At 45.4% G+C, this 13,177-nt stretch overlaps 1 protein-coding gene across 18 annotated transcripts in view; it reads right to left on the minus strand.

The window, feature by feature from the left end:
* The window catches only part of SIK3 (SIK family kinase 3), a 255,027-nt gene that overhangs the window by 13,113 nt on the left and 228,737 nt on the right, over positions 1-13,177 (minus strand). For 9 of the 18 annotated variants that reach the window (XM_005271482.5, NM_001366686.3, XM_011542725.3 and 6 more), the window contains 7 exons: positions 11,432-11,575; positions 7,154-7,304; positions 5,688-5,813; positions 5,327-5,412; positions 4,760-4,869; positions 2,751-3,090; positions 1,296-2,185 (listed from right to left, as the gene is read on the minus strand). In XM_005271482.5, coding sequence (XP_005271539.2) covers positions 1,296-2,185; positions 2,751-3,090; positions 4,760-4,869; positions 5,327-5,412; positions 5,688-5,813; positions 7,154-7,304; positions 11,432-11,575 — 1,847 coding nt within the window. Of the gene's footprint in view, positions 1-1,295; positions 2,186-2,750; positions 3,091-4,759; positions 4,870-5,326; positions 5,413-5,687; positions 5,814-7,153; positions 7,305-10,292; positions 10,891-11,431; positions 11,576-13,177 lie in introns of those variants that run through there. The other 9 variants (XM_017017424.2, XM_005271484.4, NM_001281748.3 and 6 more) reach the window with 4 other exon arrangements.

Raw genomic sequence — 13,177 nt, forward strand, 5'->3', positions numbered from 1 at the left:
CCTAAACACCCTCAGGTCTGTTAACCATTCCACCTATGATCTGGTTCTGAAAGCTCCCACCCTCCTATGTCTACTAAGAATACAGCAGCCACAGGTGAACACAGTACATCTCACTGGAGCCAATCTCTCAGCTGGATGACACCCATCTGTTCAAAAGGTCAGGATTGAATTGGCATTTCAGGCAACAATTCCCCCCTAAGAGCGCATAATGAGTACAACCTGGCACCACCAAGGCGTTTTCACAGACACCGCTTTACAGCAAGGCCTTCTCTACTGCTCTGTGCTGCAGGACCGAATTCCCCCTGGGGCTGAGTTTTCAGCACTGACTTTAAATGACAGGGCAGGAGATGCAGGTAGTTCCGGGGAGGGAAGGATGGAAGAAACTGCTCAGTCTCAGGGTTGTACAGTTTACAGATAAATTGCTTTTTATTCCCTTGGATGGCAATGGTGAGGAGTGGTAAATTGCAAGATTCCTGATTTTGTCTAGGATGAATGCCGTGATGCTAATGGAACTATATTTTCTAAGTATAACTTACTAATTGCAATCCTGATCTCCTTCAGAATGATAATGAATATACTCATTAATTATAAAGTGGTACAAAATGAAATGATAATGGGGGCCCTTATGATGCTGTAATATTCTGCATTTAGCTCACTAATAAAACGACCAGAGTAATAATACCTCACATTTATGCACTGAACTCAAACATTTCAGATGATCTGAATGTGCCTCTCTCTCTCATGCAAACATTATGTAGAAACAAACACATATATACATGTTTTCATCTCCACAGATACACCGTAAGATACTCCATTGTTCCTCCAACACCTTCTTCACAGATGAGGAAAATCAGAATCAGAGGGATTAAATGACAAAGTTATCGTATTTATGATAGCTGCAAGAGCAGAATTAAGGTGCTCTGACTCTTGTTCCCACACTATTTACACTAAATTATGTTGGGCTGACTTTTTTTCTATTGCACAAGTTTAAAGTTAGCTGTTTGGATGGCAGTCAGGAATTTCTGGATTCCAAGAAACTGTGGTATGAATAAGGGAAATGGATCATCTATCTTATTGACTAAGTGTTAATTTTGTATCATGGTCCTTTGATTTTGAAAATGGACCCCTTGCCCACCAATACCCACTTCCTACATGCTTCTCCCCAAGAAGGTCGTGAAGCTCAGAAATTCTTTTTTTCTTAGGAACACAGAATACTAGCTGAAAAAAGATAACATTACTGAGTCAGTTGATTAGGGCAGACTGGCCCAGGACTTCCACTGTGAGGAGACACTTACCTCTGCTGGGCACCTTATTTTTACTGAATGCAGCAGTTGGCTGATGACCATAGGGATGTATCCCCAATTCTTGGGCATGACTCACAGTTCCTAGCAAAGATTCAGGGTCCCCAGGTCCACCGGTACTCAAGAGCAGAGGGCTGTCATGGCAACCTTTGGTCAATGTACTTGAACTCTTACTGTCTTGGAAGCCATCCTTGGCCCCCTCACACGAGCAGTCCTCCTCCATGCTCTCTGAATGCATCAGTGCCGGCTGGTGAGCATACCCGTGGGGCGGGGTGGGTGAGGAAGCCTGTGAGACACATTCTTGTGCCCTGATTTGTAGCAGATGCTGGGGGCTGGTGTGATGGTGATAAGAGTCAGCATTTTGATAAGATAAAGCCTGGCGCTCTGTCATGCTCTGTCCCCCAAGGCTGGGAGCCAGACTCCCCGCATCCCCTTGGTTCATGTGCCTGAACAGTTCCTGGTATTCTTGCTGTTGCTGCTGTTGCTGCTGCTGCTGCCGTTGTTGCTGCTGCCTTTTAATGAGCTGTGCAAACTCTGTTGGGGGCAGCCGGATGTCCGAGTGGCCGGTGAGCGAATGCCGGGGAGAAAGCAGTCCTTGAAGGATGTGGGGTACCTGCTGGTGTCTTGTATAGTCTGGCGGCGTGGGAGACAGCAGGGCCTGCTGTAGTGCCGACGTGGTATAGTGTGGCGGCTGCTGATGTGCACTGGGAGGGAAGGTGGGGAATTGGTCAAGTGGAGGGACTTTCAGGGCTTGGGTTGGAGAGAACCCCACTCCTGTTGAAGGGCTGTAGCTGCTGGGGGAACCCCGGGACTGGTCCGAAAACAGATGGGGGTGTAAATGCGCCTGGTCGTAGTTAGCAGGGGAGAACCGATTCACGTTCAAGCTGCAGACACAAAAGGGAGTACCAGACATCCATGTAACAAGTACTAGACTTCCTGGGAACAGCTCCTCCTCCTCAGTAGGGAGAACCCACTGGTACAGAGAACTGTGGTGTGACAGAGAAGTGGCAGATGTATGCATTGTCCCTATTTATTCCATTACTGGCTTGTCCAGTAACCTCCAAGGGACTGAGGGCACTGCGTGGGTAATAGATCTAGCTCATTTTGAAGGAAGCAACTTCAAGATGCTCCCTTCAAGAAAAGGGGAACTGGAATTTTTATACATTCCTCTAACAGGCCATTTTCTTCTTTGCAAGCAAATAATAAGGTAGCAAATAATAAGGTAGCTTTCCCATTTTCCACCTCAGTCTCATTAGAATTTTAACCCTGGGTCAATAAAAAGCTGACAAGTTCATTCCAAACCCAGCATCCTGATTTTAGAAAGCGTGAAACAAGAGCACAGCCTAGTCAGACCCATTCTCCTTCCCTCCTTTTCTCTCACTCTGCTAAGGGGCTTCCTCCCACCTGGATCCCATGCATAGATGGCTGGGTGACGTTAGGCGGTCTTACCTGTGAGCCTCTGCACTGTCAGCACTCAGCTGCTTGGACAAGGGACGGTGCCCATAGCTGAGGGTGGCCATCAGGTTGGTACGGTGCTGCATCTGCATCTGACCAGCACTGGGGCTGATGGAGATGCCGCGCCCACTGGAGCCTGCAGCTGTGCCTGGCATGTTGCTGAGCATGTCAACAGGCTCTTGGACTTGGATGGTGACCTGCTGTGACTGAGCAGGCTGCTGCATACCCAAGCAGGTTAGTGCCACGTTGGGAGGAGAGGAACAGTTCTCAGGTTGCTGCTGAAAGATTGCACTGCGGGAAGGTAAGCCTTGAAACTGGGAAGAAGATGCAGCCCCTGGAGAGAAAGGAACCTCAGAGTGACCAAGTGCCCAGGCCACCAGCCAGCCAGAAGTAATGAGAGCTAATGAGAATACTCAGACGACATACCAGCTAGAACAGTGCTTCTCAAACTGCACTGAGCATAGGACAAGTCTGGAGAACTTGTTAAACAGAAGATTCCTGGGTCCTATCTATATAATTCTGTTTCAAACTCTGATTCAGTAGGTCAGGATGGGCCCCTAAGAATTTGTGTTTCCAACAAGTTCCCTTAAAAGCTGGTCCATGGATTACATGGGGTAACTCGGATCTAGGCAGTGCTTCTTGAACTTTCACATGCACACAAATGGCCTGGCATCTGGTTAAAAATGCAGACTCTAGGCCGGGCGTGGTGGCTCACACCTGTAATCCCAGCACTTGGGAGGCCGAGGTGGGCGGATCATGAGGTCAGGAGTTCGAGACCAGCCTGGCCACCATGGCGAAACCCTGTCTCTACTAAAAATACAAAAATTAGCTGGGTGTGGTGGCGGGCGCCTGTAATCCCAGCTACTTGGGAGGCTGAGGCAGGAGAATCATTTGAACCCGGAGGTGGAGGTTGCAGTGAGCCGAGATCATACCACTGCACTCCAGCCTGGGTGACAGGGGGAGACTCCATCTCAAAAAAAAAAAAAACAGACTCTAACAGGTCTGGAATACGACCTGAGATCTTACTTTTTCTCCCAATATTGGTGGCTGGGGGACCCCACTTTAAGTAGGAAGAGCCTAGAGGCCAATTCAGACTCTTCTCAAGGATCCTAGGGAGACTGACTAGGGACGTAGCTCGTGGAGTGTTACTCAAGAGATCCTAAGACGGCTGACCTCTGAAGACTCACAGTCACATTATACTTATCTTCACTCCCATCTGTACACCCACAAGAGAGGGGCCCACGTGTATAGTAGACAGCCAAACGGAGGCATGTCTATAAGGAAGGTTCTGGTAGCTGCTTTTTATTTGGTAGGGCTGGAGGTTTTGTTAAAAATATTAATAATAGTAAACCTTTATTGAGAACTATTTTGTGCCAGAGACTGTTCCAAGTGTTTTACGTATATCTACATACTGTACCATAATTATCCTCAGTTGACATTTGAGAAGTAATATGGTTTGGCTCTGTGTGTACCCACATCTTGAAGTGTAGTCCCCATGTGTCAAGGGAGGGACCTGGTGGGAGGCGACTGGATCACGGGGCAGTTTCCTCCATGCTGTTCTCATGATAATGAGGGAATTCTTGAGATCTGGTTGTCTGATAAGTTTCTGGCGCTTTCCCCTGTGCAATCTCTCTCCTGCCACCATGGAAGATGAGCCTTGCTTCTCCTTCTGCCATGGTTGTAAGTTTTCTGAGGCCTCCCCAGCCATGTGGAACTGTGAGTCAATTAAACCTCTTTCCTTTATCAATTACCCAGTCTCAGTCAGTTCTTTAGAGCAGTGTGAAATGGACTAATTCAAGAAGTCAAGTTAACTTACCCAAGGGTTTACAGCTAAGAAACTGATGGAACCAGGATGCAAACCAAAGCAGCTTGGCTCTAGAGTCCATACCCCTGAATACTATGTTATTCTGCCTTTCAAATGGTTTATGGTGCTCAAAACTGAGACCATCATTTTTTCCCATGTGGCATAAAATGAACTGTTTGGTCTGAACCTCTCCACTCACCGTGAGGCTGGATCATGGCACTGCTCATGGGGGGAGGACTATTACTGGGCTGCCTGAAGAGATGGTTGTTGGGGTGGTTGGGGGGTGGGCTTGAAGGCTGAATCCTTAACCTTAAAAATAACAAAAGAGATACACAAAGAAGCTTCCTAAGGTGACAGTACAATCTTAAGTTTCAGCCATACAACATATATCAGTGGAAACTATTTTTTTTTACTTTGATAAGCCTCATGTTAGAAAAATATACATAAGCCATCCACCACAGTGTATTTAAAACCTATCTACATCTTGTTTGAAAAGAACTCAGCCAAAATGGCAGAGTTCATTGTGGGCCTATGTCTGGCTCCTGTATTAGATATCAGATTACTTTGCTCATGGGGCTAAGGAAATGAAGTGGCACAGGAAGTTGGGATTTCAAGAAGGCTCCTGAAATTTACAGTGGTTTCTCTCCTTTTCAAATAGATTCTTGCAAGATGAATGCTCAAGTCAGTCCATATCTCCCAGTGAGTCAAGCCAAGGGTACCAGGCTATCGAGACAATGGCTTAGGCACAACACAAAATGACTCATACCTCTGGAGCTGATGGGTAAGGAGGGCTGGCTGATTTTCACATGCAGCCTGAAGAGGTGGAGATGGCTGAGGAGGACAGATAGAGTCCTAAAACATATATGGGGAAAGGAAAAAAATTATTGTGAGCTTGAAGATTACTCAGAGCTATTCTCAGGAAGGGAAGAAACAGAAAGAACTATCTGTGTCTCAGATTTATGCTTTTGTTGTTCACCAGAAGGTCTGATTACCTTTACTCAAACATGTCAACCATAAACAGACCTCAAATCCACTTTGCACTGAGTGGTCTCCTCCAAAATGCACAGGCAAATCAGCCTGAAAGCAAACTCCAAACAAGTTGGAGAAAGCAAAGAGTGAGGGCCTACTTGAATTTGTTGCTGGAGAATTTGATGGTGCTGCTCCTGCTGGTATAACATATGCTGCTGCTGGGTCTTCTCCAGGGTTCTTTCATCAATCTGCCCCCCGTACATCTTCTGCAGCTGCTCACACTCCTGAAGGGAAAGTAGTTAATACAGATGGGATGCAGCCAGACCCGCCTCATGCAGTGATTTCAGCAGATGCAGATCTGCCTCCAAGCTCTCATGGGCAGAAAGAGCCGCAAGAGAACAGTGTCCTTGATGAGCAATTAACTCATTTACCTAAGTATCTGGTGCACTAAATAGATTCACATCCTGTTCTGTATGAATGAATGGAAAACATCAAGGATGGCCTTTGTATGAGTACAAGTGTCCAATGTGAAATCTGTGTACAAAGCACACGCCATTGGAAGCTTGGTCATCAGGAAGGCAGAAAGGAAATTGGCTCTTTATAGAATCTTTATAGTACAGAAACATATAGAGGTACATTTCCTTCCTCTGAGAGTGCCGTTCCATACCACCTGGAGAGAATGCCAGGTGGTAACAATGTACAGCAGGTTTAATCAAGACCCAGCATCCTAAATCATGCGCAGAGTGCCAGGCGCGCAAGGTGGCTCACGCCTGTAATCCTAGCACTTTGGGAGGCCGAGACGGGCGGATCACCTGAGGTCAGAAGTTCGAGACATAGCCTGGTCAACATGGTGAAACCCTGTCTCTACTAAAAATACAAAAATTAGCTGGCATGGTGGTGCACGCCTGTAGTCCCAGCTACCCAGGATGCTGAGGCAGGAGAATCTCTAGAACCCAGGAGGCGGACGATGCAGTGAGCTGAGATTGTGCCACTGCACTCCAGCCTGGGTGACAGAGCAAGACTTGGTCTCAAAAAAAAAAAAAAAAAGTAGCACCTTCTCTGGTGGTTCCCACAGAAACCCAAGCCCAGAAATTCCTTTCCAATGAACTAGAGACAGGAGAAAAATTTAGTCCCTTCACAGGGGAAGGAAGTTTGATCCTGGGGAGGGCTGTACATAACACAAAGTAAAGAAAGTGCATTAGAAAGCTATACTTTCTTTTTCTTTTAAGACAGAGTCTCGTTCTGTTGCCAGGATGGAGTGCAGGGGTGTGATCTTAGCTTACTACAACCTCTACCTCCCAGGTTCAAGTGATCCTCCCATCTCAGCCTCAGGAGTAGCTGGGACTATGCTAATTTTTAATCTTTTGGGGGAGAAAGGGTTTGCCACGTTGCCTAGGCTGGTCTAGAACTTCAGGGCTCAAGCAATCCTCCCACGTTGGCCTCCCAAAGTGCTGGGATTATAGGCGGGATCCACTGCGCCCGGCCCAGAAAGCTATACTTTTTTAACCTATAAAACTGCAATGTTGCTGACATAAAAGGGGTACGTTTACCACCCCAGTCCTCCTGCAATCCTGGCCTCTGTCACCCATGCTCCTCCAGGGATGCCTGCCACCTCTTCCATTACCTGCTGCAGCTGTTTGATGCTGCTGTTGTTGCCCATTTTTTCCAGGTGAGCTTTGAAGGCCTGGATGCTCGCAGCCCCATCTGAGAACCGGCGCACAGGGGAGAAACGCTCCGTAGGGAGGTGCAGAGTGTTGGAGTCCTTGTAGGTAGAGCTGAATATATGGGAAGAGAAGGTTAGAGGCTAGGACTCAGGGGCTTTGACCAAATCACACAGGGACTGCTGTTCCAGATGAACATAAAGACGGCTGGCTGCCCAGGTAGCCCTGCATATTATGCCACTTTCATGCCATTTCCAGACATCAGTCGTTTCCCTAGCCTGCTTCCCTTTAGAGGGCTCCAGGTGTACATCTTCCATTTCTACTTACCTTCGGTTGGCTTACTTTCCAAGCCTGGTGAGGTCCCGAGATCAAGTACATCCAGTTCTTATAAATACACTAGGCCAGAGAGAAAAGCTTCTCAATATCCTCCAGGCCAGACTGTACAGAAGCTCTTGCTTTTATAATCATATGTCTATCTAGTGCCTTTAGAAACCTTAAATTCACCATTTGAGCCAAAGTTTTCCCTGAGCAATGATCTCCGTATGGCCAGAGGGAAACAACAGTCAGTTTTGTGGTCAAAGGTCTGGCCTAGAACTCATAGGTTCTGTGACAGAAAATAGAAGGTGGCGATTGGGGTGGGGGAAAATGAAGACTTCTGATCCTGGGATGGAGACAACAAATTCTTAAGGAATGTGGGCCTTGAGATCCTGCACGTACCTGGTCAACAAATAAGGTCACCTACTGTGAAAATCAACTTCTCAGAGCAGCAGCACTCACCCAACCTCCTAATGAAAGAGGAATCATATGGATTACCTTCAAAGACCCCACTGCTCAACTGGAACACAGCCAGAATCTTACAGAAAGAAAGAACAAGCTATTGATAAGGAATGCCTAAGACAGCATCGGGGTTAGAAGCTAACACCTACTCTTGTGACCTGATGATCAGAAAGAGATGTTTATGGGCTGAGGTAAGCAGATAAAAGACTGCCAAGGCAGCAGCATTCCAGTAGCAGATGGAAAGGATCAGGGTTTCATGTCCAGGGCAGAGATGCCATTACACTGAACTTTGGATGAAATGATGTGCTACCTTGCCAGTGATTCATTTGGGACTGAAGCAGAACCACAGCTCAGGAAGCAGGTTAACAAGCGAGTTCAAATACAATGCAGACAGCGCGGGACCAGGAGGAATCTAATGACCGTGCAGAGGTATCCAGAGAGTTCTGGCAGCAGGTGAAAGCCTTTTACCCTGTCTTTGCTAATGATGGCTTTTGTTTCAGACTCTACCTGAGGCTTGACCCAGCAGTGAGCTAATGAAATGAGCACGAACATGTATTTGGTTCAGCAACACAAAAAACAAATGAATTTGGCGGGCCACAATCCAGGAACAGGGATCATGAAGGCTGTGTTGAGAAGCATTTCCTTATAACTTGTCATTTCTGTTTCTACTTCAGGTTGAAGTAGAAGCAAGTAAGTACTATTTTCTCCTAAAATTTGATTCCTATGCTTTCAATGTTTTCTGAAATGGACATGTTTCTGATCCCCTCAGAAAGCCATGTTCTTCAAGTAGCAATACAGTCTTTCTGCACAAAAATAATTCTCTCCCATCACAGAAAATCCCAGGTCCAGGTATTTCATGACTTTTTCAGAAGCTCAGGTTGTGAAGAGACTGATACCCAGGTCAGTCCAGCACAGTAACCTCAGAGGAACGGTTCTGATGCAGTTGCTCATTTGAGAAGCACTGATAAGTATCAATTGTGCTTGATTTTATTTTTATTTGCAATCACACTCAAATTCAGGATGGCCTCGCATTAGGCTGATACTCCCACACTATACTCTTCAAGGAGGGACTTGGTTTCCCACCTGGATAAAATCTATCTTGTGTTAGTTTAAAAAAATTTTTTAGTTACACTTTTTAAAACATTTTTAACCTTAAATTACACATTTCCAGAAATGAAAAGGTTGATTAGACCACTCTTCTGTTTCCATGTTGAACTTCATCTCTTCTACCCCAGAAGGATAGCTATATATACTGTTCTTTAATCATTTCCTCCAGAAAATGAAAGGAATTCAAGAACCCATGCAGGCCACCCGTATTCCATGTTTTATAGCCTTGGAAAGTTTCTCATTTCCCCTGAAGACTGGCTTTAATCTCTTTTGCTGCATATTTGTATAGTGATCCCATCAAGACATGCTGGGTTTGCACAAATGCCCCATCTTATGCAATTTGCCACTCATAAAACATCATTTTCTTCCAATTCAAATAGGCTTGGCCACAGGCAACCCTCAAAACACCAAAAAGGTTCACATGAAAACAGACAGCAGATAGATTTCCAGCAGGCAAGGCCTTGACAATGACTCTAGGCAGGGTGGATATCACACAGACAGAGCTGTGGTCCAGTGTGGACCTCCTTGAGTAACAAATGTCAACAGAATATAGGGTCTGTGATAAAGCCTGACTCTGGAAATGTGACGATCTTCATGTTCCCCTCATAAGAAGACCTCCTGAGGAACACCTAGCATTCAACAAGGATACCTAAAGGACTTCAGCTAAACAACAGACTCAGACAAGGGCTGAAACATTAAGTGTCAGGCTGTGGAGGAAGGGAAGAAGGAGACAAGGAGAAAAGAAGGAATAAAGGGTGTATTAGATACCAGTGTAGAGCTTGAAGTTATGAGAAATCACAGGAAACGTATAGGGGAGGAGAAGGCAGGTCTCCAGTAATCACTCAAAGTGCTCTTTATTTATTTATTTATTGAGACGGAGTCTCACTCTGTTGCCCAGGCTGGAGTGCAGTGGCATGATCTCGGCTCACTGCAACGTCTGCCTCCCGGGTTCAAGCAATTCTCCTGCCTTAGCTTCCCGAGTAGCTGGGACTACAGACGCCCACCGCCACACCCGGCTAATTTTTGTATTTTTAGTAGAGATGGGGTTTCACCATATTGGCCAGGCTGGTCTCGAACTCCTGACCTTGTGATCCACCCGCCTCGGCCTCCCAAAGTGCTGGGATTGCAGGCGTGAACCACCGTGCCTGGCCTCAAAGTGCTCTTTAGTGTGTACGAACACTGTAAGTCCTGAGAGACTTTCATTAGAAAAAGCCTGTCTTTCTGTGCCATCAGAGTTTTATTTGAGAATTGTCATTCTTGCTACTCCTGACAGACCATTTTTACCAAGTTACTCATAGTCATTTATGAAAGCTTATCTTCCTTCTTTTAGGGTTCCAACGTGGCACTAATTATGTCCCACTCTGCTCAGAGTTCACTTGCCTCTGCTGATTATGTTGATGCCAAATGGGTAACCAGCCTCAGTAAAAAAAATGTGTCAAGCTTGCCAGTGCAAGCTGGCTGCAAGATTTCATAACACCACATATATAAACCTAGTTTCCTTGGAATCTGATTGCTTTTCAACCTTCCCAAGGCTGCTTTTCAGTGTCCTCCCCAAAAGACAGAAATAAAATACGCTCTAGTAACTGGTGGTGGCTTTGAACGTGTGGGCCATGAGCTTGGGGATAGCTTCGGAGTGGCCAAGACTGAGATTTTTAGTCATCAAGATAGTCACAGAAGATAATCATCTTCTTCAACTAGCAAAGTGTCATTCCGCAGCTGCTTCCAGGCTTACTTGGAGTCAATGAAGTTTTCTTGGTCAGGAAGGTTAAACTTGCTTTTATTTCTTCAAGAGAATGGATTATAACCATAACCGAACCTAGCAAAAGATTTTTGCCATCAGAATATTGAAAGAATGACCTCTTAAATACATCGCTCAAGAGGATCTCTGCTCTACTATTCAGAAGGGGCTTTGTCTTCATTTCCAGGCTGGCGGTTCAATGGTAACACGATATGAAATGCTCATTCTTTTGAAGGTGATGGATTATTAAAGGTCAAGTCTATCGATATGGCTAAAAATCTTCCTGTTTCCAGGTGGCCTTCTGAGAGTTTCACTTTCTTGCAGGTCTCAAGTTCAATTTTATCTATGAATCAACATCTAGAATCATGGGAATCAAATGCAGACAATAAACAGGTCTGCAAGGTAATGGGAGAGAGGAATCTCGCATTGCTCCAGGGCGCAGTAAAAAACCTTTGCCCTGTGCATTGCTTACTGCAAGGAGCTGAGAAGATGTGAGTTCAGGATGACAGCTGGCTTCTATTTAAAGCCACGATGCTAGTCACCGTCGCTGTGAGACTAATCAGAAGGGTGCCTGTCCGATGAGCCTCAAGGAGCTCGCACAGCTCATGTGGCTACTCACCGATGCTGATCAGGTACCAGGTGAGGAGGCCAGACCCGGGAACGGAAAGGCTGCTGTCCTAGCTGCCGTTGTAGGTCCGGTGGGATCTCAGCTGTAGGGTTGGTCATGGCCAGTGTATGTCTTTTGGACCTATTTGCCAAGTACCTGCAACAAGCAGGAGCACATTTCATAGTAAAAAAGACAGACAGGAATATTCCTCCACAAGAAGCATTAGAAGTTAATCCAAAGCACTCAATGAAATAGTGCCAGAGCTCACGAAGGCTTGATGGCAAACAGATCCCTGCCTGGATGGAAGTGAGACACGTCTAACTGGCCAACAGAAGTTGGCTTGACAATGAAGTGGCTGAATTTTGAACCTAAGAATAGCCATTGAAGAGAAGAGAGAAAGTAGATCTAGCTCACAAAGATGAGATCACTTTTCCTTGCTTCATTCTACTCGGTAGAAGAATTTATTTTCTCCATGTTAATTTATTCATCTTTTCCCTCCAAATTTCCAAAATACAAGTCAGAGGAAATGAGCCCTAAGGACTATTCCTAGAGATGAACCTGGGGAGATATTCAGAAGGACTCTGTGCATGTCTCTCGATCTCACAGGCCCCAGGTTTGAGACTTTCTTCACTACAGGTCACAGAAAACTGATCCTTCCATTTGAGGATAAATGAATTCCAAAACCACCCTTTCCCTCTCGCTTGGTGACTATAACTCAATCATCAGAGAAGAAAAACTGATGTTGTCCTTGGGGAACCAACATTCTGTGGAGGATGAAGAAATAAAACCACATGAAATGTTTAGTTAGGGAGGGAAAAAGCAAGGCAAAAAATAAAAACAGAAGAGTCTCACAAGACGAAGAGTTCCCAAACTGATGGCTTTTATTCGGAAGATCTTTCAGACCCAGCACTTAGTTAATACCATCAATAAGATATTGTCCCTCTTTGTCTGGTGGATGACTTCCTCCACCGCTGCTGCTCTTCTGGAGGCATGAATAAAAGAGGCACTACACCTTTTTTATTACATCAAAACTGATGGGCATTATACCCTTGAAATGTTGGTCTAAAGAAGAAAGAAGGTAGACCTGGAGGAAGGAAAGTCTAAGACAAAGAAGATAAAATATTGCTGTCTCTTTTAAGGTAGAAAGGCAGTAAATTTCCTGATTTCTCATTTCTTCATGACCCAGTAGGGCCCATTTGTAACCTTATATACCCTCTTATCAGCAAACTATAGAAACAACAGCATCAAGGAAAAAAAAAAGTTACCAGAATTTTCCTTCTATTGGCCAAGCTGTAGAAGGAGCTGGCCCACCTGCCAACACCCCTGTTTGCCATGGTTTTCTTTCCACATAGGACCAGCTGCTTTCTGAATAGCAGCTCTCACACAGAGCTACTGGGGATAGGATGAGAGTCCTAGCCAGCAACTGGCAGGTTCTTAAAAAATGGTCTCATTTCATTCTTAACTATCTTGCCCCTTTCAGCTAAAATCAGTTAACAGACTGTAGAGTAATCAGTGTTATGTGAACTTGCCAAAGAGTAAGCCATTAATGTTTTAATAACCATTGGATAAAGACACCCAAAGTTCCCCAAAAGCCCATGAAAACCATTTTATTTCAACTTCCCTCAAAGGAAAAAACATATAATCTTGAAGAACACCTGTATTTCTGGGAAAATACATGCTGGATTCTGGTGAAACCCCCTCCCCGGATAATAAGAAAATCAACTCCCACAAGGGGGCATGCATGGAGCTAAGGACCAG

The sequence above is a fragment of the Homo sapiens genome, chromosome 11 (assembly GCF_000001405.40).
Source record: "Homo sapiens chromosome 11, GRCh38.p14 Primary Assembly".
Taxonomy (NCBI): domain Eukaryota; kingdom Metazoa; phylum Chordata; class Mammalia; order Primates; family Hominidae; genus Homo; species Homo sapiens.